General features: G+C 37.3%; 1 protein-coding gene and 1 long non-coding RNA gene across 6 annotated transcripts in view, besides 3 other annotated features; one reads left to right on the top strand and one right to left on the bottom strand.

Annotated features, from left to right (window-relative positions):
* Nucleotides 1–26,784, top strand: part of SNAP25-AS1 (SNAP25 antisense RNA 1) — a 195,695-nt gene that overhangs the window by 159,803 nt on the left and 9,108 nt on the right. The window lies entirely within an intron of this gene.
* ANKEF1 (ankyrin repeat and EF-hand domain containing 1) lies at nt 1,401–24,717 on the bottom strand. 5 transcript variants are annotated; one of them, XM_047440367.1, is made up of 11 exons: nt 24,371–24,717; nt 24,062–24,125; nt 19,034–21,446; nt 16,383–16,582; nt 15,161–15,310; nt 14,007–14,130; nt 9,492–10,314; nt 7,815–8,041; nt 6,429–6,592; nt 5,105–5,242; nt 1,401–4,202 (listed from the first exon to the last, which is right to left on the bottom strand). In XM_047440367.1, exons 5-11 carry the CDS (start codon nt 15,287–15,289, stop codon nt 4,044–4,046), a joined length of 1,764 nt encoding a protein of 587 aa, XP_047296323.1. In that variant the 5' UTR covers nt 15,290–15,310; nt 16,383–16,582; nt 19,034–21,446; nt 24,062–24,125; nt 24,371–24,717; the 3' UTR covers nt 1,401–4,043. The 5 variants fall into 5 exon arrangements, with proteins under 5 accessions (XP_047296323.1, NP_071379.3, NP_001290401.1 ...); NM_022096.6 differs by having other exon boundaries at nt 21,057–21,446; NM_001303472.2 differs by lacking the exon at nt 24,062–24,125 and having other exon boundaries at nt 19,034–19,079; nt 21,057–21,446.
* Nucleotides 9,539–10,738: an enhancer, noted in NCBI's record as "CDK7 strongly-dependent group 2 enhancer chr20:10029614-10030813 (GRCh37/hg19 assembly coordinates)". NCBI's record gives its function as "activates an origin of replication core promoter dependent on BRD2, BRD4, P300/CBP, MED14 and CDK7 cofactors, with strong dependence on CDK7, by STARR-seq in HCT116 cells {active_cell/tissue: HCT116}" and the evidence as "EXISTENCE:reporter gene assay evidence [ECO:0000049][PMID:35650434]".
* Nucleotides 11,989–12,181: a silencer, noted in NCBI's record as "fragment chr20:10028171-10028363 (GRCh37/hg19 assembly coordinates)". NCBI's record gives its function as "represses an EF-1alpha promoter that drives an FKBP-Casp9 reporter gene in an ReSE screen in K562 erythroleukemia cells {active_cell/tissue: K562}" and the evidence as "EXISTENCE:reporter gene assay evidence [ECO:0000049][PMID:32094911]".
* Nucleotides 24,377–24,926: a silencer, noted in NCBI's record as "silent region_12670". NCBI's record gives its function as "represses an Ori minimal core promoter by ATAC-STARR-seq in GM12878 lymphoblastoid cells {active_cell/tissue: GM12878}" and the evidence as "EXISTENCE:reporter gene assay evidence [ECO:0000049][PMID:35858748]".

The following is a 26,784-nucleotide window of genomic DNA, read 5'->3' as shown; positions in this document are numbered from 1 at the left end:
AAACATGTTGAGCCATTAAAATGAATACAAACACTCCGTATGTGGGGAAAGAGAGTTAATAGGACCTAACATTAATGCTTACTCTCAGTTTATATTTGCAAGTGGCTGAAGGTGATCCCAGGACACCACTATCTATCAAACTGACATTTAAAAAATGTACTCACTAGAGTGAAAACAGAAAGTGATCACCTCTGAAAATCTGCTGTTGCAGATTCATTTTCCTTGTTCCTGAACGAAGCCAAAGGTAGGCATTTTCCCTCACATTCAAGAAATAAAGAGTCCTCTGATTGTTTTAGAAAACAAAATGTCTTTTTATCAGGAGCCAACTTGAAGGGTTTTCCCCTAGTTAAATCAGGGACAATTTGAGCATCAAAATTAATAATGAGAGTAAAGGATCACATAGGGGAGGATTAACTTTTCCTCTACCCTCTTAGGTTCAATGCCTGGAGCCTGTGAATTAAACTGACAAAAGGCATTTTAACAGGAGAAAACAAGTTTATGCATGCAAGGCATATACACTTGGGAGAACTCAGTGATGAGTAACTGAAAGGGATAGTTAAAATCGGTGGCTTATAATCATCTTGATAAGCAAAGGGGAGGGGGAGAAGACATTTATGTAAACACAATGACTTTTTACAAAGATACATGAGTTTTCAGGTGAACAAACAGGAGATAAAAAAGTACGTGATAATGTTTATCTATACAGGTATAAATGGTCCTTAAATTTCCTTCGGGGCCATACAACACTTCTGGAGAAGGGATTTGGGGTAGGATTACTTGTGTTCTAGAAGTAGATCAAACCTGAAGAGGAATTTATGGCAGCCTTATTTCCTAGAAGTTACTGCTTGTAGTCAGATAAGCAAAGGTCTGAGAAGACTTTTTTTTCCCCTGCATATGGTATGTTAAATCTCAAATGTCTTTGGCTTAAAATAATCTTTATACCAACTCTGGAGTTCTGAGTTGGTCCCCACACATATATAATTCGCATTAAATAAAAAGGGAATGCATGAGTCTGTACTGATTTGAGTACATAAATTAATAAGGAAGAAAAGAAAGCTCTGCCCAACAGCAGAAGGCCAAGTAAGAAATGGAAAGAATGATAAAATGTAGAAATTATTTTATGGCAACTGTCACTGTAATAATTATTTTAGGCGAGAATCATCCATGGATGCTAAAATTAGTAGGTGAAAGTATGAAAGTAGAAGGAAATTTCCATAGTTTCAAAGTATCTATCTATCAGATATTCATTAAGTACAAGGAAAACTACTAGAGAGTTACCGGCACCAACTCTCCTTACAATAAAAAAATCCATGTATAAGTTTTGCCTCCCAAAAAACTTAGATACTAATAACTTACTGTTGACCAAAAGCCTTACCCATAGCATAATCAATTAACACGTATTTTGTATGTTATAAATACTGTATTTGTGCAATAAAGTAAGCTTGAGAAAAGACAACAATTGAACTCAACACAATAGCAACAGGAGGTGGCTATGAAATTATTACAGTTGTACAGTATGTACTACAGTTAATTTTATGCAGTTATGATTTATTACTGCAGCTTTACTTTTATTTACATTTCTCTCAACTGCAAATGCAGTTAAAGTTTATATCAGGTATCAACATCATGTGCCTCCTGATATGATGTACTGAGAAGGGTGCAATGACATCTGTAGCACTGCTGCCCCAAAAGCATCACCTGAATCTATTCTTGAAGACATTTAAGACAAACCAAAGTTGAGAGACATTTTACAAGATAAAAGTGGCTTGTGTTCTTCTTATATACTGTCATAAACAAACAAACAAACAAACAAACAAGAAATACAGGTTGTTCTAAACTAAAAGAGACTAAAGAGATGGGGCAAGCGAATGTATTTCATGACCTGGGAGTACAAAGGAAATTATTGGGATAAATAGCAAAATCTGAATAAGGTCTATAGATTAAATAGTTCACTTAAGTGTTAATTTCCTTAGTTTGCCAATGGTAATATTGTTATGCAAAAGAACATCGTGATTTTAGGAAATACACAATGAAATATTTAAAACATCATGTCTTCAACTGACACACAAATATGAAAACATCATGTGAAGAACATCATGTCTTCATCATGTCTTCAACGGACACACAGATAGTTCGGGGACAAAAATTAAACATACATATGCATATATGTAGAGGGAGAAAGAGATAGAGCAAATGTGGTAAGTGGTTAACATTTAGGTAATCTGGGTAAAGGGCATATAAGAATTCTTTGTCAAATTATTGCAACTTTTCCATAAATATGAAATTATGTCAAAACAAAAAGAAAAGAGAGAACAAAAAAACCAACCAAAACCTTACAAAACAGACAAAATTTAGTTGTAATAGCAAATCTTGGGATCCAAATGCAATGCTTGTAAGCAACCCCTGTTCAGGTCTGTCTCCTCCAGAGGGGTGGGCCTGGTTACCTGCTTCATTCTCTCTCTTCCCTTCTCCTCCCTAACTGGCTCCTGTGGAAGGTCCCTCCAAGGTTGGAAAGAGAGGGAGGAGGTTAGAGGAAAGGGGTTTAATCCATACGTGACTGACAGAGCTGTAATCTGCAATTGGTGCCTTCTGGTAAGGCAGATTCTAAAGTGGCTTCTTTCTGTCAATGAGACGTTGGATATTTTTGGAGCTCCTGTTCGGTACCCACTGCATTTCTTGGTGTGAATAATGCCTCAGCTAGCTTTTTACTGCAGAGTACACCTCCAGAGATGGTCAGTTTTATGACTCAACTTGGCTAGGTTGTAGCACCCAGTAACTCAATCAAATACTAATCTTAGGTGTTGTGGTGAAGGAATTGTGTACATGCAACCAATATTTACAATTCATTGACTTTATGTAAAGGAGACTGCTTTAGATAATCTAGGTGAAACTGATCCCATCAGTCGCTTTAACAACAGTTGAAATTTTCACAATCGTAATCTGGTTAGGTAAATGGATGCCTTTTATTTTAGGAAAGACATACTGAAGTATTTAGGTGTATGAACAAAACTGAGGTTTCCATGATGAAGAAGAAATTCCACTTGTGGACTTCAGGGACAGCTCCTGCATGTTTCCAGCCTGCACTTCCTGATAGCCTACCCTACAAATTTAGCACTTAACCATCTGGGGCCCAAAATTATGTAAACCAATTATTTGCAATAAATCTCTATCTATCTATCTATCTATCTATCTATCTATCTATCTATCATCTATCTATCTATCTATCATCTATCTATCTATCATCTATATATCTGTCTATCTGCCTTTCTAGCTAGCTAGATACCTAGCTGTCAGGTTGGAGCAAAAGTAATTGCGGTTTTTGCTGCAATTAAAGGTTATGGCAAAAACCACAATTACTTTTGCACCAACCTAATAGCTATCTATCTAGGGCTAGGGCTATCTATCTAGGGCTAGGGCTATCGATCTAGGGCTGTTAAAAGTGTATTCAACCCAAGGTATCTAATACACATAGTTTATAATGGCATGTGAGAAATAAACTCCTTCCTTAAAAGATTAAATATTACTTCTTTTTCCAAAACCTAAATTGTTTCATCAATTTCCACTAGAAATGTATCTTCAATAAGCAGGCTGGGCACAGTAGCTCATGCCTATAATCCCAGCACTTTCGACGGCCAAGTTGGGAGGACTGCCTGAGCTCAAGAGTTCGAGACCAGCTGGGGCAATATAGTGAGACTCTGTCTCTATTTAATAAATAAAAAGGATAATTAAAAAAATAATAAGCATAATGGTGTAGACCTGGTAAATCTTTTGACAGCAACGTTTATAACCCACATGCCATGTATTTCACTACATTCATAAAGGGGCTTGGGGATTTATCCAGAATGACATACCATTCATTTCAAAATAACATACATCTTTTCTCTAGACAGCTAAGAATATTTATAGTTGTTAAAGCAAAAAGAAATTCTTGGTAACAAGTTCTTGGTGTATGGATTGCTTTGGCTTTGATGGAAATATCTACTTTCTCCAAAGATTGGTCCCTGGGCCTCAAAGCATTTACCCCAAGAAATAACTGCTATGACTTAGGTCTTCAAGGCAGCTTCCAGTGCTCGAGCTTTCTCTGTGATGTTCTTCTGAAAAGGCATCATAAAATCGTCGAAGTCCACCTCATGTGTAAACCTCTCTCGCCGTAGTTCCCTCTTCCTGATCAGCTCTGCTGTTGTGGCTTCAGGACTCCAAATCTTAAAAAGAAAAATAGCCATACCCCAGCAGGTATGAGTATGACAGCCAGTAAATATGCTAATATCCAGACAATTTTCAATACACAGTTTTAACTTAAAAATTTGTTTATAGTTTTAACTTAAAACTATTAAATTTACTTTTAGATGTGTTTTAACTTCTTCCCCCCCTCTCATATGACACTAGTGGTTGCACGAGCATCACTGTTTTTGATGATGACTGTCTAGACAAATAATGTCGGAAATATTATTCAGTTACTTCTCTGGCCAGTTATGCTCAGACCAGCTGCTGTGCGTTTTTTAGGATGCCAAAACAGGGAAGCAAAGGAATTAGAAGATCATCTAGGTTTACTACCTATATGTCTTATGTAGAAGTCAAAATTATTTTTATAATAGAAGGCGAGGGGAGCTGCTTGTTCAGCCTGGTTGGATGGCCAATGGAAAGACAACTCTTTTCTCCAAAAGATGTCTCCACCTCTTTAGTTGTGGAGGTTTTCGGAAGCTACTGAATAAATCCAGTCTTGATTTATATGAAACTCCTGCATGAGCTGGTAGTAGTTAAGTACAAAGAAGGGTTGGGTCTGAGAAGTACCAAAAAAAAGTATCCTTAGGAGTTAGTGATTAAACAGCTGCAGATCATGCCATTGATTCAGAAAGACTTCAACCTTTCTAGGAAAATGTAAATCTCAATACAGAAATAGTAATAGAAAGAGAACTAGATGCCGGGAGCTATCACTTGGGCATACTGAGTTGAAAGTACCAGAACCTGGCAAAAGAACATTCACAAGTAGTAACTATGAAAGACAAACTGTGCAGATTTGTTTGGATATTCTACATAAAAAGCTTTTGAAAAAATGACATTATGAGCTTCTACCATGCTATGAAGATCTTTTCGAAGCACTTACCCTCCGTGGAATAAATGTGATATCCACTTTCTTAGTATAACCACTGGTAATCAATGAATTCAGATGAACCACATTACCCTTCTGTACTTTCTTTCCCTCTGATGTGGTTGGTACACCATAAATTGATGACAGCAGTTCCTGGAAACAAGAACAAAAAAATTATAAATTGTAAAAATCTATACTGATTTTCTAATATTATTTGCTGTTTCACATCTTACTCTGAAGCCAGAAAGAAACCTAAAAATGCTACTGTACAAGTTATAATTTGAGATAAAATAGTATATTATTATAACTTTGGGGATGGGGAGAGATAGTTTGCCTTGTTTAACTTTAATTAGAAGTATTGGTAGAAGATCACGTAAGTCTTTGAGATACCCATCCTTGATCTGTGGCCTACTAAAATGACAATGGAAGAACTTTAGTTGACTGATCCTCCTTCACCTTTTGCCATTCTAACATCCTCCATGTTTATAAGTCTGCTGTCTGTCTACAATCCCTTCATCCTATCTACTCCCTACCACCTACATTTCCCCAATGCTTTCCAATTTGATGACACTAAAACTTTTCCTTCTTGACTTTCATCTCTTGTCCTGTGTCAGCCAAGAGTCTCCAGTAGATATTCTGCTCCCTTAAGAAAAGCTTCCAATCTAGAGACACACTTAGGGGTTTCCTGCTAATGATAAAGTCTTGATGTCTCAGTAACTCCCATGGGCAACAACTTCAACCTTCCACTGCAGTTTAGAAGTTCCAAATCACTCCGGATTACCAGAAACGTTGAAAACCTACAACCATTTTGCAGGATATTCTAGAGACAATGGCTCCGTATCCCAGAATTCAGTGGTATTCATTAAAATTCCTTGGTGGAGGCGGCAGGTGGGAGGAAGGGGAAGTGGTGGGCAATGAAAGGGGATATGGTGGTAATGAGACCAAAATGAAGAAAAATCATGCTTTACTTCACTCCTCATAAGGGTTAATCTCCTTCCCTATTTGGACCATCTCATCAAATCTGTATAATTCAGGACCAAATATATACAAATCCAACACCAGTTTTGGTTTTCTTTTTCAACATTCTAATTGTATTTGGCTGAACCCATTTGGTTTTTGTATGGATTCTCTTTGCAGTGAGTACTTTTTAGGCTCTTCAGTGATAAGAATTTTATTAGATATTTCTTTAAAAGTACTATATAATAATGCTATTGAAAGTATGCACTGCATATTATCTTACCCATGTTGTATAACAATATGTAAATAGTGCTTCTGCCTTCCCCCAAACAGATTTTTAAAGAGTTCCAGTTACTAATGGGTAGTCAACCATTTTTCTTACCTCTTCTTTCTTAATTTCAGGGCCTTCAGTCTTCAGTATAGGAGGTGTCTTGCCTTTTAGTTTTTGATTTTCTGCTGGTTTCGGCAAGTTATCTAGCTTTTCTTTAATCAGATCAATTATTCTATAATCAGCATATGCCTTTGCAACGTCCATGGCACTATGCCCTGTTGAAACATAAACATAAATTCAGAGTGACTATAAACATATTAATGATAAACCATGTAGAAAAATATCTCAGCACATCAGCTCTAAGCCTGCCCTAATAAGGGTGATTCCTAAAGCAAGGGGTATATATACAGAAGTTCACAGAGCTAGATCAGATTTTCTCTATGGCGGTCCCAGCTTTAAGATCCCATGATTTATAGTGCCATCTAAATACAGAAAATTACTTTTCCTTAGTTTTTTTTTTACTATGTTTCTTAAAAGAGTGATAGGAAATATTATATTACATCTTAAATATCAAATTGATTATTCTCTCCCCACATTGTGCAAATTTCCTTCTATGTGATAGATAATTTTACATTATCTTCCCCTTTCCTTGATGTAAGGAGGTAAATTCCAAAAGGTCTGGGGAAGCTAGTGGCCACAGGTGCTCCAGGCAGATGGCTGGGCAATATGTTACCTATAATATCATCAGGCAGGACAGGTGCAGTAGTATCTGTGACTCAGAGGCAGCCTGAACCAACCAGAGGTATGATGCTCCTCAGTCAAAGGAAGCAATGGCTTCCAATGTAGGAAAATGGTACTTCCAAACAAGGAGCTCAAATATATTCAAATGATTTTTTAATTTTTCCTGTATGGTATTTATGATACAAGGTAGGTTGTGTGTTTACTTCCTAGAGTCAGGGAAGCCTCAATTCAGGAATTGCTTTGTCCAGCTTTAAGAGAAACCCAAAGTCTATAGGGTATGCAATTATTAGTAATTAACAGTCATAACAGTGTAATAACTCAGTGTCATCTGCAAACTGGTGCAAGTCCACAGACTAATAGTTACTGATCCATAATGAAGTAACTACAGAAACTAAGTATTTATAAATGTTTTTAGCAACTTAATATAATTTTCTGTCATTAAAATTTAAAGATTAAAAACAAAGTTTTGGCCTTGTATTTTTTTCATTTTATTTTTCTAATAAATAATTTTATTATATTTTACAAAAGTATTTCAGTCCATGAAAGATTATAAACATAAAGAATTGGCCCTCCAACACCAATGAGTGGAGAAGCACTTGGTATAAGATAAACTTCCATAACATTTAACTCAGGCTTGTGTTTGTACCAGGAACCCAGTGGACAATGCAAGCCTACGAGAATAGAATCAGAAGGGGCTTAGAATCTAACATAAGTTCTCCTTTTCTAACCCTAATCATCAATAATATGAACGCATACCTTTTCTATTTTCCAGCTGGAATTTAGCACCAATATCAAGTAGGTATTTTACTGTATCCAGTCTGCAGCTTTCAATGGCTCTATTTAAAGGAGTTGAGTTGTTGATTGAAGCTGCATCTATTAAAGCTCCAGATTCAACAAGAAGCTCAACAATGTCTTGTTGGCCTGCATGGCATGCAAAATGAAGTGGAGTCCACAGAAAGTTATCTGTTGCATTAACGTTAGCTCTGTAAAATAAGATAGATGAACAAACTAAAAATACGGTTTTCCAATGACTGGACACTAAAAATGCAAAGTAAGATTTCATAGAGTTCTATCAAGTTGCTAAATTGTAAACTTTGTGCCATAATTTTTCTTCAAACCTCTTTGTTCTGCATTATTTGACAGTCTTAACTTTCTTTGTGTATATCTACATTAAAAGGCACTTTAGATTCTAGGGATTACGATTTGCAAAGGTTAAAATCAAGGAAAATTATAAAATCAGATCCAATGAAGATAAAAGCTGACAGGACATATTTCATTTTGTGACTTTCTCTGCATGTAATACATTTTTAAATGAAACTTCATTAATAAATTATAAATATTACCATGTATTATTTAACATTTTAGTCCTTTTTAGAAATTCACTGTCCAGAAGTTCATATTCTCATTAGTTGCTCTCTTGATAATATACAAATTTGAGTCTTTCTTTAACATTAAAGTACTAATAAGATTAGTACTTTATTTCTCAAGTATGTAACTACTGTGTTAACAAGAGCTTTACATATTTTAACTCATCTAATCTTCAACTAATCTTGTGGCATGAGTCCCACTACAGTCTCATTACATACATGACAGAACTGAGGCACAAAAATATTAAGAAACTCACCCAGGTTATACAACTATGGTAGAAGAAGGAATTAAACCTGAGTGATTGTTGTAGTCTAAAAAGTTAAGTATTATAAAACTCTCATGATTTGATATTTTAAAAATATTTACATGACCAAGGAAAAGGATGCCCCACACTGGAGGAGGGCAGCAGGTTTTGGGACCAAAGCATGTTATTATAGCCACCATTCCACTTGTTTGAAGTTGTTGAGATCCTCAAATAGAGGCAGATTAAAAAGTGACTCCACACCATCTAGGTGAAGCTCTGAGACAGGACTGAGCCGTGCTGCCACTGATAGAAGGCCAGTAATAATCAGAAGACTCTATTCACCCTGAGTAAACACTTACTGGCCTTCACTTCATGCATAATTGCTATTGGCAAAATATATTTGTGCACACACAATCCTATGCTCCCATTATCCTGGTTTCCCATATAAGATCTATAGGCTTAATTAATTTATTATAGGCTTTAATAAAGGGGCTAGGAATCTAACATAACATAAATCTAACATAAATTCTCCTTTTCTAACCCTAGCCATCAGTAATATGAACACATACTTTTATAGGGCATTTGTTAGACTTTAATAAAGCCTGTAATAAATCAGCATTTTTAATAAAGCATTCTTTAATAACATTCTTTAATGAAGCCTATAAGTTAATTGTTAATAAAAGGCTTTTATATATTAAAGCCTTATTATAGACTTTAATAAAGTAGCACTTTTCTATATTACTAAAATTCGGTCATCTTTTCACTTCCTTGAAATGTGAAGACTCGTGAAAATTTAGGCCACACCCGACGGAGACGCGTACCCTTTTTCAAGAAGAAACTTGACCACATCTATGTTTCCACTTGCACACGCCGTCATTAGCGGAGTTTTGTAATAATTATCCTTCATATCCACAGGTATTCCTGATTCAAAGGCCTTTTTCAGAGAAGCCAGATCCCCTGCTTTGGTGATAATATTAATGTTTGAAAATACCTTCTCTGAATCATCAATGTACCAAACAGAGTCATCCTGAATGGGATGTTCTGGGGGATGATCTCTATTAAACCGGCTGCTATCAGTGACATTCTTGTAGGTCTCAATCATGTAATACGGTGGCCCACCATCCTGCCGGCGTGGAAACGCGTACTCAGGAATGACACAGATTGGAAGGGGTAAGACAAATTTCCCTTTCTTTCCTTTTTTGCCCATCCCTTTTTCCTTTTTCTTAGGTCCATACGATCCTAAGACAAAAGACTTGTTTAAATATCTGGTTCCTTTAAAGAATTCATTAATATTGACCCCTCCTCCCCGGGTTTTCTCATGAAGGTGAGCGATGGCAGCCAGCTGTTCTGAGCTTGCATAATCCTGCCTTTCCTCCAACACCATCACGAAGTCGTTCTTGCTGATGCTTCCATCACCCCTGTCTAAAACCGCAAAGGCTTCCCGGAGGAAAGCCTCACGTTCTACGGACCAATCGTGCAGTCTAAGGGCCCACAGTGGATTTGGATTTTTGGCTCCTGGCCTGGCTAGTTTATTAGCGATTCTCTCTGCTCGGCGTATTTCTTTGCTTGCTGCTTTGAAGCCGCCTTCCTTAGCCACAGCCCTGGGCGTTTTATGATCTAAATTCTTCCATTTCAGGTCACATCCTAAAACATAAAGCATCATTAATTATGAATGGTGCCAAGGCATTTGCATGGCTATAAGTGACACTCATCCAACTGTTTTCTTAATTTCTCGTGATTAGTAAAAAATGTGTCCCCAAATTATATGTATATAGAGATGTGCACATTTTGCTGTTATAATTACAAAATTGAGCTGTGATTTTTTTTTTCTGTGAGCATCACTTTGGTGAATTCTGAAGAAGATACGTTTACAATTTACAATAGGATTAGAACATTTATCCCTAGAGATATTTGAAACACACACCATATTGGTACACTTGCTCAGGGGACTTCAGGCCAACAGGAAAAGAGCAAGGATACATTTAAATTTGGAAAGAAGCTGGATTCAAACAGCTTACCTAGGACCTTATGAACTCAGATCTGAACCTGAAAAGATGCAGAATACCCACTTCCTTTTGAATGATTTAAACTGTAAATCTGTGTATAATTTTAAGTATATTTTTTCCGTATTCTTCATTAAATAATGTAATTTATACTAATCTGCTGTTTTGTGGTATGGCCATATGAACAACCTTCACAGAGGAAAAAGTAATTGTAATTAAATCTGAGGAGTTCAGCATTATATTTATGTGCAAGTTAGACATTAAAATTCATTTTCCTTTTTGGTCCCTTATTTAACAAAATGATGATTCCAACATCATTTATAAATATTCACCAAAGAAATAAACTTTTTTGAACATGTTAGGGAATCCATTTAGTGCTACCAAAAAGGCTGTGTTGTCTATAATAAGTATATGTATAAGTAAGACTTTGAAGAAGCAGTCAGACCATGTTTTTCAAGATTAATACTTTCCTTAGTATTGCCAAAAATTAAAATTGTATACGATGGGTAAAAAAATAGAAAGAATGAATAACACCTACTATTTGATAGCACAACAGGGTGACTACAATCAATAACAATTGTATGTTTTTAAATAGCTAAAAGAGCGTAATTGGATTATTTGTAACACAAAGAATAAATGCTTGAGGGGATGGATACCCCATTCTAGAGGATGTGATTATTAAGCATGGTATTCCTATATCAAAACATTTAACATACTCCACAAATATATATACTTACTATCAAAAAAATAAAAAGTAAAAAAAGAAAAATAAATCTATTTTACTACACAAACACACACACACACACACACATTTTTATACTAAGGCTGATAATTTTACTAGTAGTAGAAAAACTAAAAAAGACTATGGGGACAATAAAGGTTATAAAATTTCTATATTGGATAGTTTTAAGAACAGTGACTCTATAGTGTAATTCCATAGCGTAGTAATTCCATAGTGCAATTCCATACTAATTCTGATATGCTGTTTTTACTTAGCTATTTATTTTGCTTACTCAGGGTGTCTGGGGGGTTTTGATCCCACCTCTCAAGCCTCTTCTTCTATGTTCACCCAGCACTAAGGACCAAAGGATTTTCATCCTGTTTTAGCTTACCCTCTGCAGCTTCCAGCTTAATCCTAGTTAGAAACTTCCATGTGTATAAAAGACTCCAACATCCCACTTTAAAGAGCTAAAGGCAGTTTTCCTGTCGTTTTGACTTGGAGCTTTCTGTCTCCTCCTTTATGATTAGTAAATAAAGATCTATTCATTCCTTGTGAGACTTATGCTCCTCTGTGGTAAAGTTGTTCAACTTCCAGCTGGCTGGTGCTGCAGAACTCAGGGAGTTGAGGGCCCAGGAAGAGGAGGAGGAGGACTCCACGAGCTCCTCTCCTCTGCCCTTGGATGTGGCTCTCACATGCTTACAGGGAGTTGCCAATTGCTCCAGCAGGGGGACGAGGGGGCGAAAGAGGACCATCATGAGGAAATGTGAGAAATGAATCCAGCCAGCACAAATGCTTTACAATTAAGTACAGAAGAGACTAAGCCCAGGGAGCTTATTCAGAAACAAGCATTTGATCACTAAGGGTTTCTTCCTGCTCTGATTGCCTTAGATGTAAGATTCTAAAGGTAGAAATGTAACTGACAACACTTCTGCTGTGAAACTGGGTCACCCACATAGGATCTGGTGACGTGTTTATATTTCCGAACATGCACAGAACTCAGAACATTTTCAAACATTTGCTTTAAAATAGTCTCATGATTGATTCTTCTAGGAAAATGGATCTTTTCTGCATCACTGAGTTAGGCCTTTTTGCATGACCCAGGCTCTGGTCCTTGGCTTCTCAATGTGCTTTCTGTGACTTTATTCCAGGAATACATAAATGATAGCGTATGTGTGATATTTGTCCCAATAAGAAATAAGTCAACATATTAAAGTTAAAGAAATTCGTCTCAACTTGAGTGGATCTTTAGTTTTTAGAAATACATAATGTTAAATCTGAAATGTCAGAATAAACTGCTAATAGAGACAGATTTGAAAACAAAACCAATTAAGACAGTTTGAGAGAACCAGAATTGCATTTGATATATTTTTTTCTCATTTGCTAAAAGGGTTTATCACACTGGGGACATAGGGAAAGTATACATTCATACAAGTAAAAATGGATGTTATTATGCTATTATAGTTATGCGGGCATGTTAGTTTTATTTATAATTTTAGTGACTTCTAAAATTTTGTGTCTGTGTGAAAGACAGAAAAATAAAACACTTTCTTTGCTCTATTATAGAGTTGGTGAACTTTAAGTTTTTGCCTATTTCTCATAAACTAGAAAAAATATATACAGTTCTGCAAAATGCAGTTCTATCTCTAACAGAGTTAAAAAGCTTTTAATGTGCATTTAATTAGCATGTAATTAACAAAAAATACATATCCTTAAATATAATTAATATTTTCATTTTAAGAAACTCATTAAGCTATATATGATATAGTTCATATTTCTAAATTAATACTTAAAAGCTACAGGAAAATCTAAAATTAAAAATTCTGCTTACATTTCAAATTTTCCATGAAAATTTTCATTTCATGTTTTCCCCCAAATTATTTTCCCCATAACTGCAAATTATCCAGAAAAGTTATCTTTGCATTTGACACAATGGAACATTTTTTAAAATAAACTAAAAATTCAAATGAAAGCAAATGGTTTCCAGTGTGTGTCCTTTTTTAGATTGATGTTGGCATTTTTAAAATAAGGAACTTAATCAACTGTAAGTTTTTTGTTGTTGTTTGTTTGTTTTTTGAGACACAGATCTTGGATCACTGCAACCTTTGCCTCCCAGGTTCAAGTGATTCTTGTGCCTTAGCCTCCCAAGTAACTGGGATTACAGGCGCCGTCACCACCCCTGGCTAATTTTTTTTTGCATTGTTAGTAGAGGCGCGGTTTTGCCTTGTTGGCCAGGCTGGTGTTGACCTCCTGACCTCAAGTGATCCACCTGCTTCAGCCTCCCAAAGTGCTGGGATTACAGGCATGAGCCACCACACCCCGCCCTCAACCATAAGTATTTGAATAATTAGTTGGCTCAGGAACAATCCCCTTTAGGTTTTTAACAATAACCTAAAATTTTTGGACAAATGGGTTTTCATCACTTTTAAGCGCAGATTCATGATTTAACAGAGGGTAGTATAAGAAATAATTTTCAATTTTCTTTCTACATATGAGTGAGGTTTTGCTATAGAAAAAAATAAGCCACTGACAAGTGATAGGCCCAAATTCTCTGCTTATCTATGACATGGGTAAATCATAAGTACTTGAAGCACAAAATTGCTAGACAATTTTACCTCGCTGAGCTATATATTTACAGCAGTCTGCAAAACCACCCATGGCAGCATAATGAAGTGGTGTGTTCCCATTTATCGAAATCAGCCCCACGTCTCCATTGTAGGCAAAAAGAAGCTTCAATATCTGTAAAATAAATAGTGGATATTGTGGAGGAATAGGAATGTACATTTACTATATAAAGACTGACAGCTAGACCGGCACTATCCAGTACAATATCAATTAGCCACGTATGACTATTGAAAATTCAAATTGAAATGAACTAAACTGAAAATATTTAAGTTTCATTTGTTTGTTTCACTAGCCACATTTAAAGTACTCAAAAGCCACATGGCCATTGTGTTGTACTGTGTTGTATAGCACAAACATAGAATATGCCCATCATCACCAAAAGTTCTATTAAATAGCATCGATCTAGAGTATAGAAAACTCTATACTTAGAGGGGGCACTACCATTTTTGTTAGTGTAGGTAATTTAAGAAAGCATCAGAGCATGGAAAACAGCATCCAAGGGGAAAATTCTTTACCAAACGTGGTTTCTATCTTTGTGTATACTTTTATTGCACGGAAAATAGTGATATAAATGAAGATAACTATGTTAAAACTCAAAGAAATTGAGTAAAGAAATTTCAGATGAAATTCAGAATTTAAAAAAATAGTGTTTTTATTTTGTTTCTGCAATGTTACTGTATCAGTGAGATATTCTTTGCTGTATGTTTAGATAATCAGAATACTTGAGTTTAAAATTCAGGTATATCATTATCTAATACACACAAACACCATGGAGATAAGAGTATGAGGGCATTGTTCTCCCATAATTAGATCATATTATATTTTGAAGACTCTAGTATGTAATGAAGTCATAAAATACAGTAGTCCCAGGTGGCAGAAGTTTTAAATTGTTATCATCGAGTGTACAGAAAAATACTATGAATAATATTAAATAAGTAAATTAGCAAACACATAAAACTAAATAAAGAGATGAAGTTTTTAAAAATATAATTTTAGAATTATTTGGGGAAATCAAGATGAAAACAACATAGGTAACTCAGAAAAATGTCTGCCTTAGCGTACTCTATATGACATATAAAAAAATTTGAGAAAAAGGACAGAAAAGTTTTAGCAACAAATTTTAAAGCAAAGAATAGATTATTACATCGAAAAAGCCTCCTTTAGCAGCAAAATGAGCAGCGTGATGCCTGTCGTTGTCAAATGCATTCACTTCACCTCCTCTTTCCAATATGCCTCGAACTATTTCCACTACCCCTTCTCTTGACGCTTCCATTAAAGCTGTGCGGCCTGTGGACTGGACATGAAATAGTCCAATATGAGATGCTGTTTATACCCATCATATTAAGTAGCAGAATCAGTACAAATACAGTCTGAATCCATTTGACCTTAGCTTTACACTTACAAGTTTAGTTCTCTACATTTTTCTTAGCTTCATGTAACAAAGAGGAAAAATTAAGCAAGTACAATGGGTCAGTATCCAAAACGTAGAATTCTAAAATCAGAGTCAAGGTCACACTGCATGCCCCTGTGAGAATATCATGCTAAAAAATGTATTTCTTGCAAATAGAGCAGAATAAAAAGGGAGAAAGAGAGATAAAATATCAACACCTAATATAAAATTAGGTCATAGGTGTTTTATAATGAGAAGAAAATCAATGTTTAGTGTCAAGAAAGGGCAATTACAAGAAAACTCAAAATAAGGAGAGTGAACGAAATTGATATAACAACAGAACTAGGCTGGGCATGCCTGTAATCCCAGCGCTTTGGAAGGCAGAGGTGGGCAGATCACTTGAGGCCAAGAATTCGAAATCAGCCTGGCCAACATGGTAAAACCCTGTCTCTACTAAAAATACAAAAAATAATTAGCGGGGCATGGTGGCATGCACCTGTAATCCCAGCTACTCGGGAGGCTGAGGCAGGAGAATTGCTTGAACCTGAGAGGCAGAGGTTGCAGTGAGCCAAGATTGGACCACTGCACTCCAACCTGGGCAACAGAGTGAGACGCTGTCTCCAAAAAAAAAAAAAAAAAAAAAAAGGAAAAGAAAAAGAAAAGAAACAGCAGAACTATATATTTTCTTTCTAAGAAGATAAATCCTATTAGGCATCAGCAATGCCTTTTTTTACTATTTCCTATAATGGTACCTTGACATTATGCATAATAAATACCAAGTTTCCAAACATAATTAGGAAACAGACTGTAGAATCACAGCAATATGAAGATAATAAACGTATACCATCTTCAAGCATTTTGAATCAAAATGAACAGTCTATCAGCTAACAGGATAATGTCATCATATTTAAATGAAAAGATTATACTATGCTGTAATTGAAACAAGAAATATTTGTAATCACAAGAATAGCCATACTGAGTTGATTGCATTAGGATTGGCTCCTTTTTCCAAAAATGTCAGGCACACATCTTTAACATCATGTGCATCTTCACAAGCTCTAAGGAATATTGGCTTTCCTTCATAGGTAGAATTGTTGACATCTGCACCATGTTCAAGGGCGATCAGAGCACAGCGATAATGCCGCTTAGTCGGTAAAATGCAGTAAAACAAAACACCTGCAGAGAAATAAAATCCCCAGAGAGTATTTAACATCTATACATATTTGACAGGAAGGAAAGTAAAATTATTAAAAATCCATATTTAGCTAGTTAAAGGCATATCTGCCTCAGTTTCCTCTCTGAAACCAACTAAAACACCAAGACAGAAAACAAAAAACAAAAAATCTTAATTCCTGACATCGTTAGAAAACAGTCACAACCACATATGATAGGACCTGGCTTATGGAAGAATTGGAGCGCTGATAGGTGAACCCTGTTGACCCTGAGTATTTGGCATCTTGCAATACGTACCCTGAGTGTCCCTTCTTGGAATGTGAAGGGCTACAGCTATGTGTGCCAAAGGGCTACTGGTAAGTCCCCCGGTCCCCTCTAAAACTGCAGAATGGCAAAAGAGATGGTACTGGGTGATGAAATGTGTAGACTGACCATGTTTGTAAGAAGCAGGCTGTCGGTATAGCAGTAAAGAGGTGAATTAGATGCCAAGTGGCTAATTAGATGGCAAGTGCCTCTGCCATTTTAGCAAATCATTTTGTTCCGTTGGAGAAAGGAACATGCTAAATCCCTACACCCAGGACCTGTAACATACAGGCCTTCAATATAATCCATGTCAAAAGCATACTACACATCAGGGTTACTGTTATAAACCCAGGGCAGAGTGTTACTAAGAAAGTCCTAGGTAAATAACAATCAGACTCCAAACTGACTTTGTAACGAGTTCATTCCAAAAAAGGGACTCCATTCAAAGAATAACCAAAAAAGAAACCACTATGCAACCTATTAAAAAAAAATACTGCAAGGAAAAAGGAAACTGATACTGAAAGCCACGCAAAAAGGATACATACTAGAAAAGATATACCAGTGAAAATTACTGGCTAATTCATTTCCATGATAGCAAAGAAACTAAATATAACTTGTTCTAAAATGAAAGTGCAAAGATAGACCTGAATCTTAAGATTAAAAGGGTACGTTGGGTCTTAGGAAAAGTTGATTAAGAACAGTCAACAAGGCATGCCTAGGTAAAGCTAGGCAAAGAAAGTGTCTCATAAGAATCCAGGCAAAAATTCAACTAATCCATGAAGGGGAAAAGTCCAGCTGCCCTCAAAAATTTATCACAACAACATTCAATGCTACAGTATAATCAAAGGATCTCTACACTATAACTTGGGGAAAAAAAACAGGAAACTTTTATACCCAATCAAGACTTTGTTCATGTAAAAACAACAGACATGTATAGTCTTAAGGATATAAGTAATCAGGGATACAAGCCCAAAGAAGTGACTTAAACTACTTGATGGCAAAAGTGAGTTTTCCAAGAGATCAATAGAGAATATGTGACTAAAAGAACAGTCATAAATACTGAATCTCTTTAGCCACAGAACCAAAGCTAAGTCACCTTAGCAATTTTAGATAGAGAAAAATATATTGCAATTTGTAATAATGTAAAAATAATATAATTTATCAAAAATTTGAGGGAAGGAAGGAGAAATAGTATAAGTATTTGATCTTCTCATCTTTTAGGGCTAAGACTGAGATATTATGTAAAGCAGGTAAGGAAATAAAGTACAAGGTACTTATTATTTAAAAGGGAATCATTGAAAGAACTAAGTAATTATAATTGAGTATAAAATTGAGTGGTAGAAGGGAAGTAGCAGAGGTAAGAGGAAGGGTTATTGTACTAATCTTATCTAATTTATACTATTGTACTAATCTTACTAAACAGAGTAAAGAATCAATGAATACTGTTTAAGATGCTAACTCAATAAACAGGTTTAAGGGCATATGAAGTATCAAGTTAACCATTAAAATAACTAAAAAAAAATAAAAAAACTAAAATAACTAAAAAGCCCATCAATTTTAGAAAATACACTTACAAGCATATAAAGAAAAACACACATATACAGCAAAGTAAAACAAATCTATGGACCATATATGACAATACTTTCACATGTATTTTATATATTAGATATATTTTGCCTTCACAATATAAAATAAATGATGTTTCTGAAACCAACCCTATGGGAAATCTAGATAACTATAAATTGGATAAATTCCACCATTAAAATAAAAAATAAAATGTATATGAAAATCAAAACCTAAATATATTTTATATAAACTGATGTACCTAAAGTAGGGTTACTCAGAACAGTTAAAAAAAAAAAGAAAAGATTGTCAAGGTTATTATTGAAAAGAGAAAGTCAAAGAAAGAGCAAGACATAGAAGGCAGGAACAGAGCAAAACAACAACAGCAACAGCAAAACAACCTAAGCATAATACCCGAGGAGGCTGAATTCATTACAAAAGGCCCAGAGCCACTTATGAAATGAATATTTCATAATGATGGCATGTGCAACACACAGTTAAAGTGTATCTGGGCTGACTCCTTAAGCCACAAAGAACACGAATCAGCATTCCTAAATTGAAGGGAAAACAGTTTGAAAAATATTGTACCTTATCATAGAACTGGCATACGGCATTGAGGACTGAGTACACATGCCTGTAAATGCAAAAACCAATGGAATGGGAATGGGTGCTATAAGGAACTATTATAGCTTAACTTTTAAGGAGAATGATTCCACATTGTAATTAATTCCCTAGGACAACATACAAGAAAGAATGTATTGGCTTAGAGCTTTACCTTCTCCATATTCTGTAAAACTGTTCCAAGAGAAAGTGCCGCTTAGGCCTAGGGCATGTCTCACATCCTAAAGACCCACTTAGCCATTTAAATGTTTGCTTATCCTTTAGGAACGATGTACAGTGAGTCAAACATGAGTCACCAGAAAATAGGATGTCAATGACAGAGAGGGTACTGTGGAATAAGCAAAGCACTTTGGCCACTGGCAGCCAAACTGAGGGATGTGCAAGCTGAGTGAGCCTTGTTGATGTGGGAAGAGACAATGTACTCTGTACAATGGGCACTACCTTGGGTTATGCAGAGTGAGGGCTGCAGGCAGCCATCCTAACAAGCTTATGTGTGAAACAAGATTTTACATTTGTTTCCTTTTATAGTTTCAGTTCTGCCCATGAGATTTGTTTCCTTTAGCCATATGCCTGTTGCATTTGCTGCAAGTATTTACTTGACCTTGTTTCCAATTTTACCTTGATTTTTTAAAAAAAATTTACACTTTTACATTGTTACACTATAGAATTTCTTTTTTCTTTGTGATTTGTATCTGTTTCAAACTCAGTAAGTTAAACGTTTCTCTATTATAGTGTTTCCCAAAGGTTAGTCCACAAAACTCCAGGCATATAAGATGTCATTAAAAAAAATTATTTTGTGGTCAAATAAATATGGAAAATGTCACCATTTTTGAGCCAACAATGTGAAAGATAAATGCCTAAAATGTGTCTCTAATGAATGCGACCGTGGAACCAATTTTGCCTGTAGTACTTCTCAACATCCTGGCAATTCAGTGGTCCATGGAACACACTTTGGGAAATGGTATACTATAGAGCTTTGAGAGGATACCGTTTTTTCAGGATTTAGCATTTCAAAGTACATCTGGCCCCTGAATGCATCTGAAGTTTATTTTCTTACGTGGTACAATTAAATATGTAATTATCCCTTTTCTTTGTCCTCTTTTGTTCTAAGCAAGTAATCATATCAAACACCAAGTCTGGAGAGAGTTAGAAAAGTAGATTTTGCTCTTGTCAGTAAATATTCACATTATCAAATGAGATTCATTTCTCGATTGCAGAGCTGATGTTAATGGCCTTGTATCTGCAGAAACTCAGGACAACTGCTCAAACCTATCAGTTTACATTAAGCTTATTGGTAATTATCTCAGTTATTTTTATGAGGCTGTGTCAATTCTTGCCTGAACCTTAAGTTATTTGGGCAAGAAGTCCTCAGACCATGGTCTTGAGATGATGGGATTAACGGTGTGGAAGTGCAGTTGTTTGATCTGAATCATTGTTGAAAGGTCATGTCTAAAGTTTGAAGTTGTATTTCCAAATACATTTTTAAATGATCCTAGAAAGTTGGAGTTTATGCCAGAATTGACTTTAGTCCTTTCAAGTTTCCAAGTGCAAGTCCTTCCTACATCAGACTGCTATTGAGGGGGTCAAAATCCTTTTGGAGTCCTAGGTGTAGTACTGCCTGAAATTCTAAAATGTAAAAAAGAATAAGAAATGCTCTACTTCATCTTTGTTTTAAAGAAGAGTTTATAATTTATAATGAATAATCAGTGTGTATAATGTTCAAAATTCTCCTCATTTAAAAGAAACCACCAAACACAAATTAATCTAAGTATATGAGCAAGCTCTCATAAATGATTTCCCTAAGATATAGCTATCTCATTTTCAAAGTATGAGGAGACAGTAGGTTTAGGTATAGGAGTGAGAATTTAGCCTTTCCCTTAAAACCATAAGTAATTCACTTCTAAAGTTGGAAAACAAAAAGAGTCCATGTTATTGCTTTCTGGCTACAAAATGAATTGCAATCTGCTGGAGAGGATGTCGGGATTTTTACCTTTTCCTTCATTATCAACTATAGTCATATCAGCCTTTGCCTTTGCTAATATTTCCATTGACAATTCATGGCCCAGTTCTGCAGCCCTCATTGTGGGAGTACAGCCCATTCGGTCTTGCACATCAGGGTGAGCACCAAGGTCAAGGAGAAAGCTGACCATATCAATATCATTGGAAACTGAGGCTAAGTGCAAAGCACTAAGTCCATTAATGGGTTCTGTATAATTGATTAGTTCAGGGTATCCAAGCTTGGTCAGCTTCTCTATCTGCTTCTTGTCTTTGTTCCGCACACATTGAAGAACTTTGTAGATCTGTAAGTTCTCAAGTCTCTTATCTGCTAAAGCCATGCTTGACCAGCTCCTTGAAAATGCTTTCTGGACCAAAACTAAAGCTGAAGCAACAAAAAAGAAAAATAACTCAAAGTTAATTTTATCATCTTCATTTTGATTAAATAACAATATTTTGGAACTTCCTTAAGAACAGAGATTGTTTTTTAAGAAATGTTCAGAAAGTAGGATTTATACATAAATATCAAAAATATTGAGTGGGCATAAAGTTAAAACAGTTCAAACAAATCTTCCATCATAATTAAAAATAGTTTGCCAGGTGGTTTTCTTATTATCCATTTAACCTTCCCTCCTCATCACACTTTACCATTTTACCATGAAGAAGCTGAGGTTAACTAAATTGCCATGGTAAGGGTTTGAGTTCCCACCATCTATCTACATGGTTTCACACCAGCAAAATAGAGAGATCATGCAGGTTTTAATAGTTTTAAGGTGTTATAAAAACATATAATTTTGAGGTGTTCATTATAAACAAATCTACTGGGCTCTGTAACATATCAGAGATGTGATGAGTGATTCCTATGTCATCTTAAGTGGAAAAGATGTAGTTAAATGGCTGCAAGGAAACTGCAAATCTTCATAAACAATCTCCCTGTTAAATTGTGATGGGCATTCTAGTATGTAATTTTACCTCCTTGTACGGAAAATCTTTTGGATTGAGTAGCAGGCCATGCTAGGTATGACCAGTTGTTTCTTCATTTCTTATGAGAAAAGAACTCCATTATCACATAGGGAATCCTATCCGGGTCGTTTGGATGGGGCTGTCCCTTCTGTCCCCTGCCAGAGGAAAGCGTCTGTGGCCTAGGCTTGGCCCATTTGAGGGAACCATCCCTTTCCAGGTACACTGAAGCTCAAGCATATGTGCATAAAAGACATCAACCAATCAGCAGCCCATCATCCAGAACTATGAGGGAAGACTATTCTGCTGAAGTTGTTAAGCAGTATGGTGTGGGGCTGGGGCGCAGGTAGCTCTCTTGGGTGCCACAGAGAGAGTCCATGCTTGGAGGATGGAGAGAGACTGAGATTGATGGCATTAGTTGCAACATGGATTCCATGGTGCCAGAAGCCATCTACCACTTTGTGGGTAAATACATCTTCTCCCCCGTCACCTTATTTTGGTATAAGCTAGTTAGCTAAGTTTCCAACATTTGCAATGAAAAGATTCCATCTTACTACAAAAGTTGAAACTATGCACCATTTTTCTCCATCGCAAGCCTGCTCCCTCACCTACATTCTCTACGGCAGTGAGCTCTCTCTCCTTTAAATGTGTCTCTCTAGGCACCACAACATCTCCATCGCCTGCTTCCATCCAACACCAATGCCCCCTCCTGCTCAGGCTCCTTTGCTGACTCCCCATTTCAAGAAGCCTATGTTGGGTGCCCAGGGCTAGGTCCTCAAGACTCTTTTCTGTCCTCACACACTCCCCTGGTGTCTCGCCCTATCCCATGACCCTCGACCCTCAGCCCAACTCTCACTCTGTCACCCAGGCTGGAGTGTAGTGGCACAATCTCGGCTCACTGCAACCTCCACCTCCTGGGTTCAAGCGATTCTCCTGCCTCAGCCTCCCGAGTAGCTGGGATTACAGGTGCCCACCACCACACCTGGCTAATTTTTGTATTTTTAGTAAAGACAGGGTTTCACCATGTTGGCCAGGCTGATCTTGAACTCTTGACCTCAGGTGATCCACCCGCCTCAGCCTCCCAAAGTGTTGGGACTACAGGCGTGAGCCACCGGGCCAGGCCTCCTTTGCCTTTTAATCTGTTTATAACATGCGGTGGACTAGGGAACCAACTGAGGCTGCCTCAGAGTCATCCACTTGGACTTTGCTGCACGGCTTGGTGACACTCACCTTAGCTGCTATTTATGGCTTGTTTTATTATTATCGGCCATATTCCGATTAGGTGCGGTGTCATCATACTGCATATGTATATGTGTCATCTATGGAATAGGGCAAGATGCTCCTACATAGGTAATGATTAGACTGAATCAATGCCACTTGATTTGTGAAAATAAGGATTTCCCAATCAGGGACTTCAATGTTGCCTCTGTTAGCACCCATCTCTAACGGAGAATTAATTAGCAGCTACAGTGATGAATTCAGTAGGTCCATGGGTCGGTTTCCTGTGGACTGCCTCCCTCCCAGCTAAAGCCCTGAAGTGCTGGGGAGAGGGCAGCACCCTGTATAGTGTCCTTCACAATCAACTGCTAAGACTGACCAAGAGCTCACCCCACTGCAGGAAATCACACAAGTGTAGCCCTTGGGTCCTGGGTTCCTTGTAAATTGAGCAGCATATAGGATCCTCCACATACAAGCACACCTGTACTTTTCCCCAGCATGACCCTGGGCCACCTTAGTCACATCTAACCATCTACCAAGGTAGTGGAATAGAGCAGAATGTCTTGACTTGAGGTCCATGTTCGGGGTCTGAATACTCGGAAATTACATGAAAATCTGTGGGAATCTGTGTGTGTTCAGGTCATTTAACTCTCAAAGGGGGGCTGTGCGACAAGGAAGGATCATTAGAAAGAGGAATGGAGGAAGACAAGCTTGGTACAGTGGAATGTAGGGTTTGAGGTGGGGAAATCCGTTGTGATCCTCCCTTCCCTGTATCATTATTTACACAAACTAGTTGGATATAAATATGGATATGCTACCTACCTAGTTTTTACCTCAGTTTCTGCATCTGTGAACTGGCAATAGCAATGGTGCCCACTTCATGGGACTGTGTGAAAAGGAAATGAGATATGATCCTTGTAAAACATTTAGCAAAGTCCTTCAATATAGGCTCCTTATGAATACACCAAACTTTTGCGGGTTTCAGCTCACCCACAAGTGTAAGCGATAGTTTACATGTTGGGGGTTCTCTACTGTGCTTTCCACTTTTTAGTCTCCAGAAAAATCTGGAGAAGAGAGGAGTGGAGGGGGTAGAGATGTAACGTCAAAGGAAAAGCCATGTGTCATGCTCACCTCTTAGTCTTCCGGGCGATCAGAAGCCAGGGATCTCTGGGCACCTATGTGCCTGGGCCTGCTGGGGCGACCGGGGAGGCCCCTGCTCTCGTCCTCTGACGCTCAGCGCTGGCCCAGCCGCGACCTTGGGCTCCCGGAGCCCGGCGGAGGCGCCCAGGCGTGAATGATGTCCCTTGGGTAGGGCTGGTGAGCTGGCGCGCGGGACAGCAGGGCTGGGTGTATGTGTCCATGGGCCCCGGGTCCCCGGAAGGCGAGCGCGCGGGCAGGTGAGCGCAGGGGGCGGGGTGGAAGCCGGAGGGACCGGGCTGATTGTGAGCTTCCGCCACGCAGGGCGCGGCTGCCGGGGCAACCGCAGCGTGCGCGGTGGGGCGGTGCTCGCCTCCGCCTCCGCCTCCGCCTCCGCCTCCGCCTCCGCCTCCGCCTCCGCCTCCGCCCCCGCCCCCGCCTCCGCCTCCGCCCCTCGCGCCTGGCTTCGACGCCAGGTGGCCGGCCTGGGCGGGATGGGGTAGCTGCGCTGGGTGTTCCAGGGCGGAGCGCAGAATGCTGCTGTCTTGAGGATTCCGCCCTTCTCTCATTCTCTTCTCCCACCTCCTGCCCTGGGTCAGAACGTAATTTAGTTATAAAATTAAAGCTGCATATGGCAATTAAAAAATGAAGTAAAATATACAATAAATATTTAGTTTACAAAGTACAATTAAATGAAAAATACAATAAATTACACAATAAAGCGAAAGTGAACCTACTCTCAACTGCCACAGATTCTTGCAAATCTTCCCAGAAATTTTCTTTCCATACTCTAGGATGCATATATGCTTAAAAAATATTTATACACAAATGGAAGCAAATATGGAGATCACTTTATTTCAGGGCCTACAAATGCACCATAACACCCCTCTCTCTCCCTCCACACATGCTTTTTGGCGGAAAATTCTGAAAGCTTTGGTTTGATTATGTGAATGTAAAACATATATATGTGTGTCTATATATATATGCTTTTTAATGCAGTATGTAATTGCTTCCAATTAAAAACAGTAATTCCTTACACCAGCCTACCCTATTCTACTCAGAGACTGTTTAAAAATGTTAAGAGCGAAGACATGGAATCAACCTAAGTGCTCATCAATGATAGACTGGCTAAAGATAATGCGGTACATATACACCATGGAATACTATGCAACCATATAAAGGAACAAAATTATGTCTTTTGCAGGAATATGGAGCTGGAGGCAATTATCCTTGGCAAGCTAACGCAGAAACAGAAAACCCAATACTGCATGTTCTCACTTATGAGTGAGAGCTAAGTGATGAGAACACATGGACACATAGAGGGGAACAGCACACACTGGGGCCTATTGGAGGGTAGAAGGTGGAGAGTGGGAGGAGGGAGAGGATCAAGAGAAATAACTAATGGGTACTAATCTTAATACCTGGGTGAGAAAATAATTTGTGCAACAAAACCACATGACACAAGTTTACCTATATAACAAATCTGCACATGTACCCCTGAACTTAAACGTCAAATAAAAAATAATAAAAATGTTATTAAGGACTATTTCATGCACACCAAAATATACTGTATGATATATGGAAAGTACATACCATACCATACCATAGCTAAAGAAATACCATAGCTAAAGAAAAAGAAAGCTAGGAAAAATAAAGGAAAAAGGAAAAGGAAAAAAAAGTCTGCCTCTACTGCTGTACTTATATGTATTTCTTCCCAACACTGCATCCTCCTCTTCCTGTTCCCAGAGATAATACCTGTTCTGAATTTTACATTTATCATCCCAGCCTCTTAAAAATGCATTGCTACATTGAATGCCTCCCTAAATAATGCATGTTTAATATTGCATATTTTGAGAATTTATAAAAATGTGGTAGAATGTTGTGTATTGTTTTGATGACTTTTTTCCTTTCAACGTCTTGTTTTTGAAATGTATCTTTGTTGGTATGTTTAATTGGAGTTCCTTTATCTAAACAGCTGTAGGCTATTCCATTATATTACCATTCCACACCCCTTTCAAATCAATTCCACTATTGATAGACATTTGGGATGTTTCCAGAATTTGCTACTAAAAGCAATACTACTAAGATCATGTTTATAAATGTCTTTGGACGCACACGTTCAAGAGTTTCACTAGAGTATATGTCTAGGAGTTAAATTTCTGGGTCATAGGTTATTTATAACATCAAGATAAAGACAACTTGTTTTCCCGACATATACAGCAATTTAGACTCCCATCAGCAGTGTGTATCTTAGCCAAAACTTGGTTTTGTCACACAAAAAACTTTCTGCCAATCTTGGTATCAATGCTCTTTTATAATTTACTTTACGTGACCTGATTACTAATTATTAATCTGTAAGTTTGATTCCTTAGAGATATTTGAGTGTAAATTTATTGTCAAACTGTGTC

Source organism: Homo sapiens, chromosome 20 (genome assembly GCF_000001405.40).
Source record: "Homo sapiens chromosome 20, GRCh38.p14 Primary Assembly".
Classification (NCBI taxonomy): domain Eukaryota; kingdom Metazoa; phylum Chordata; class Mammalia; order Primates; family Hominidae; genus Homo; species Homo sapiens.
Note: the sequence above shows the minus strand (reverse complement) of the source record. Positions and strands in the feature narration are given on the sequence as shown.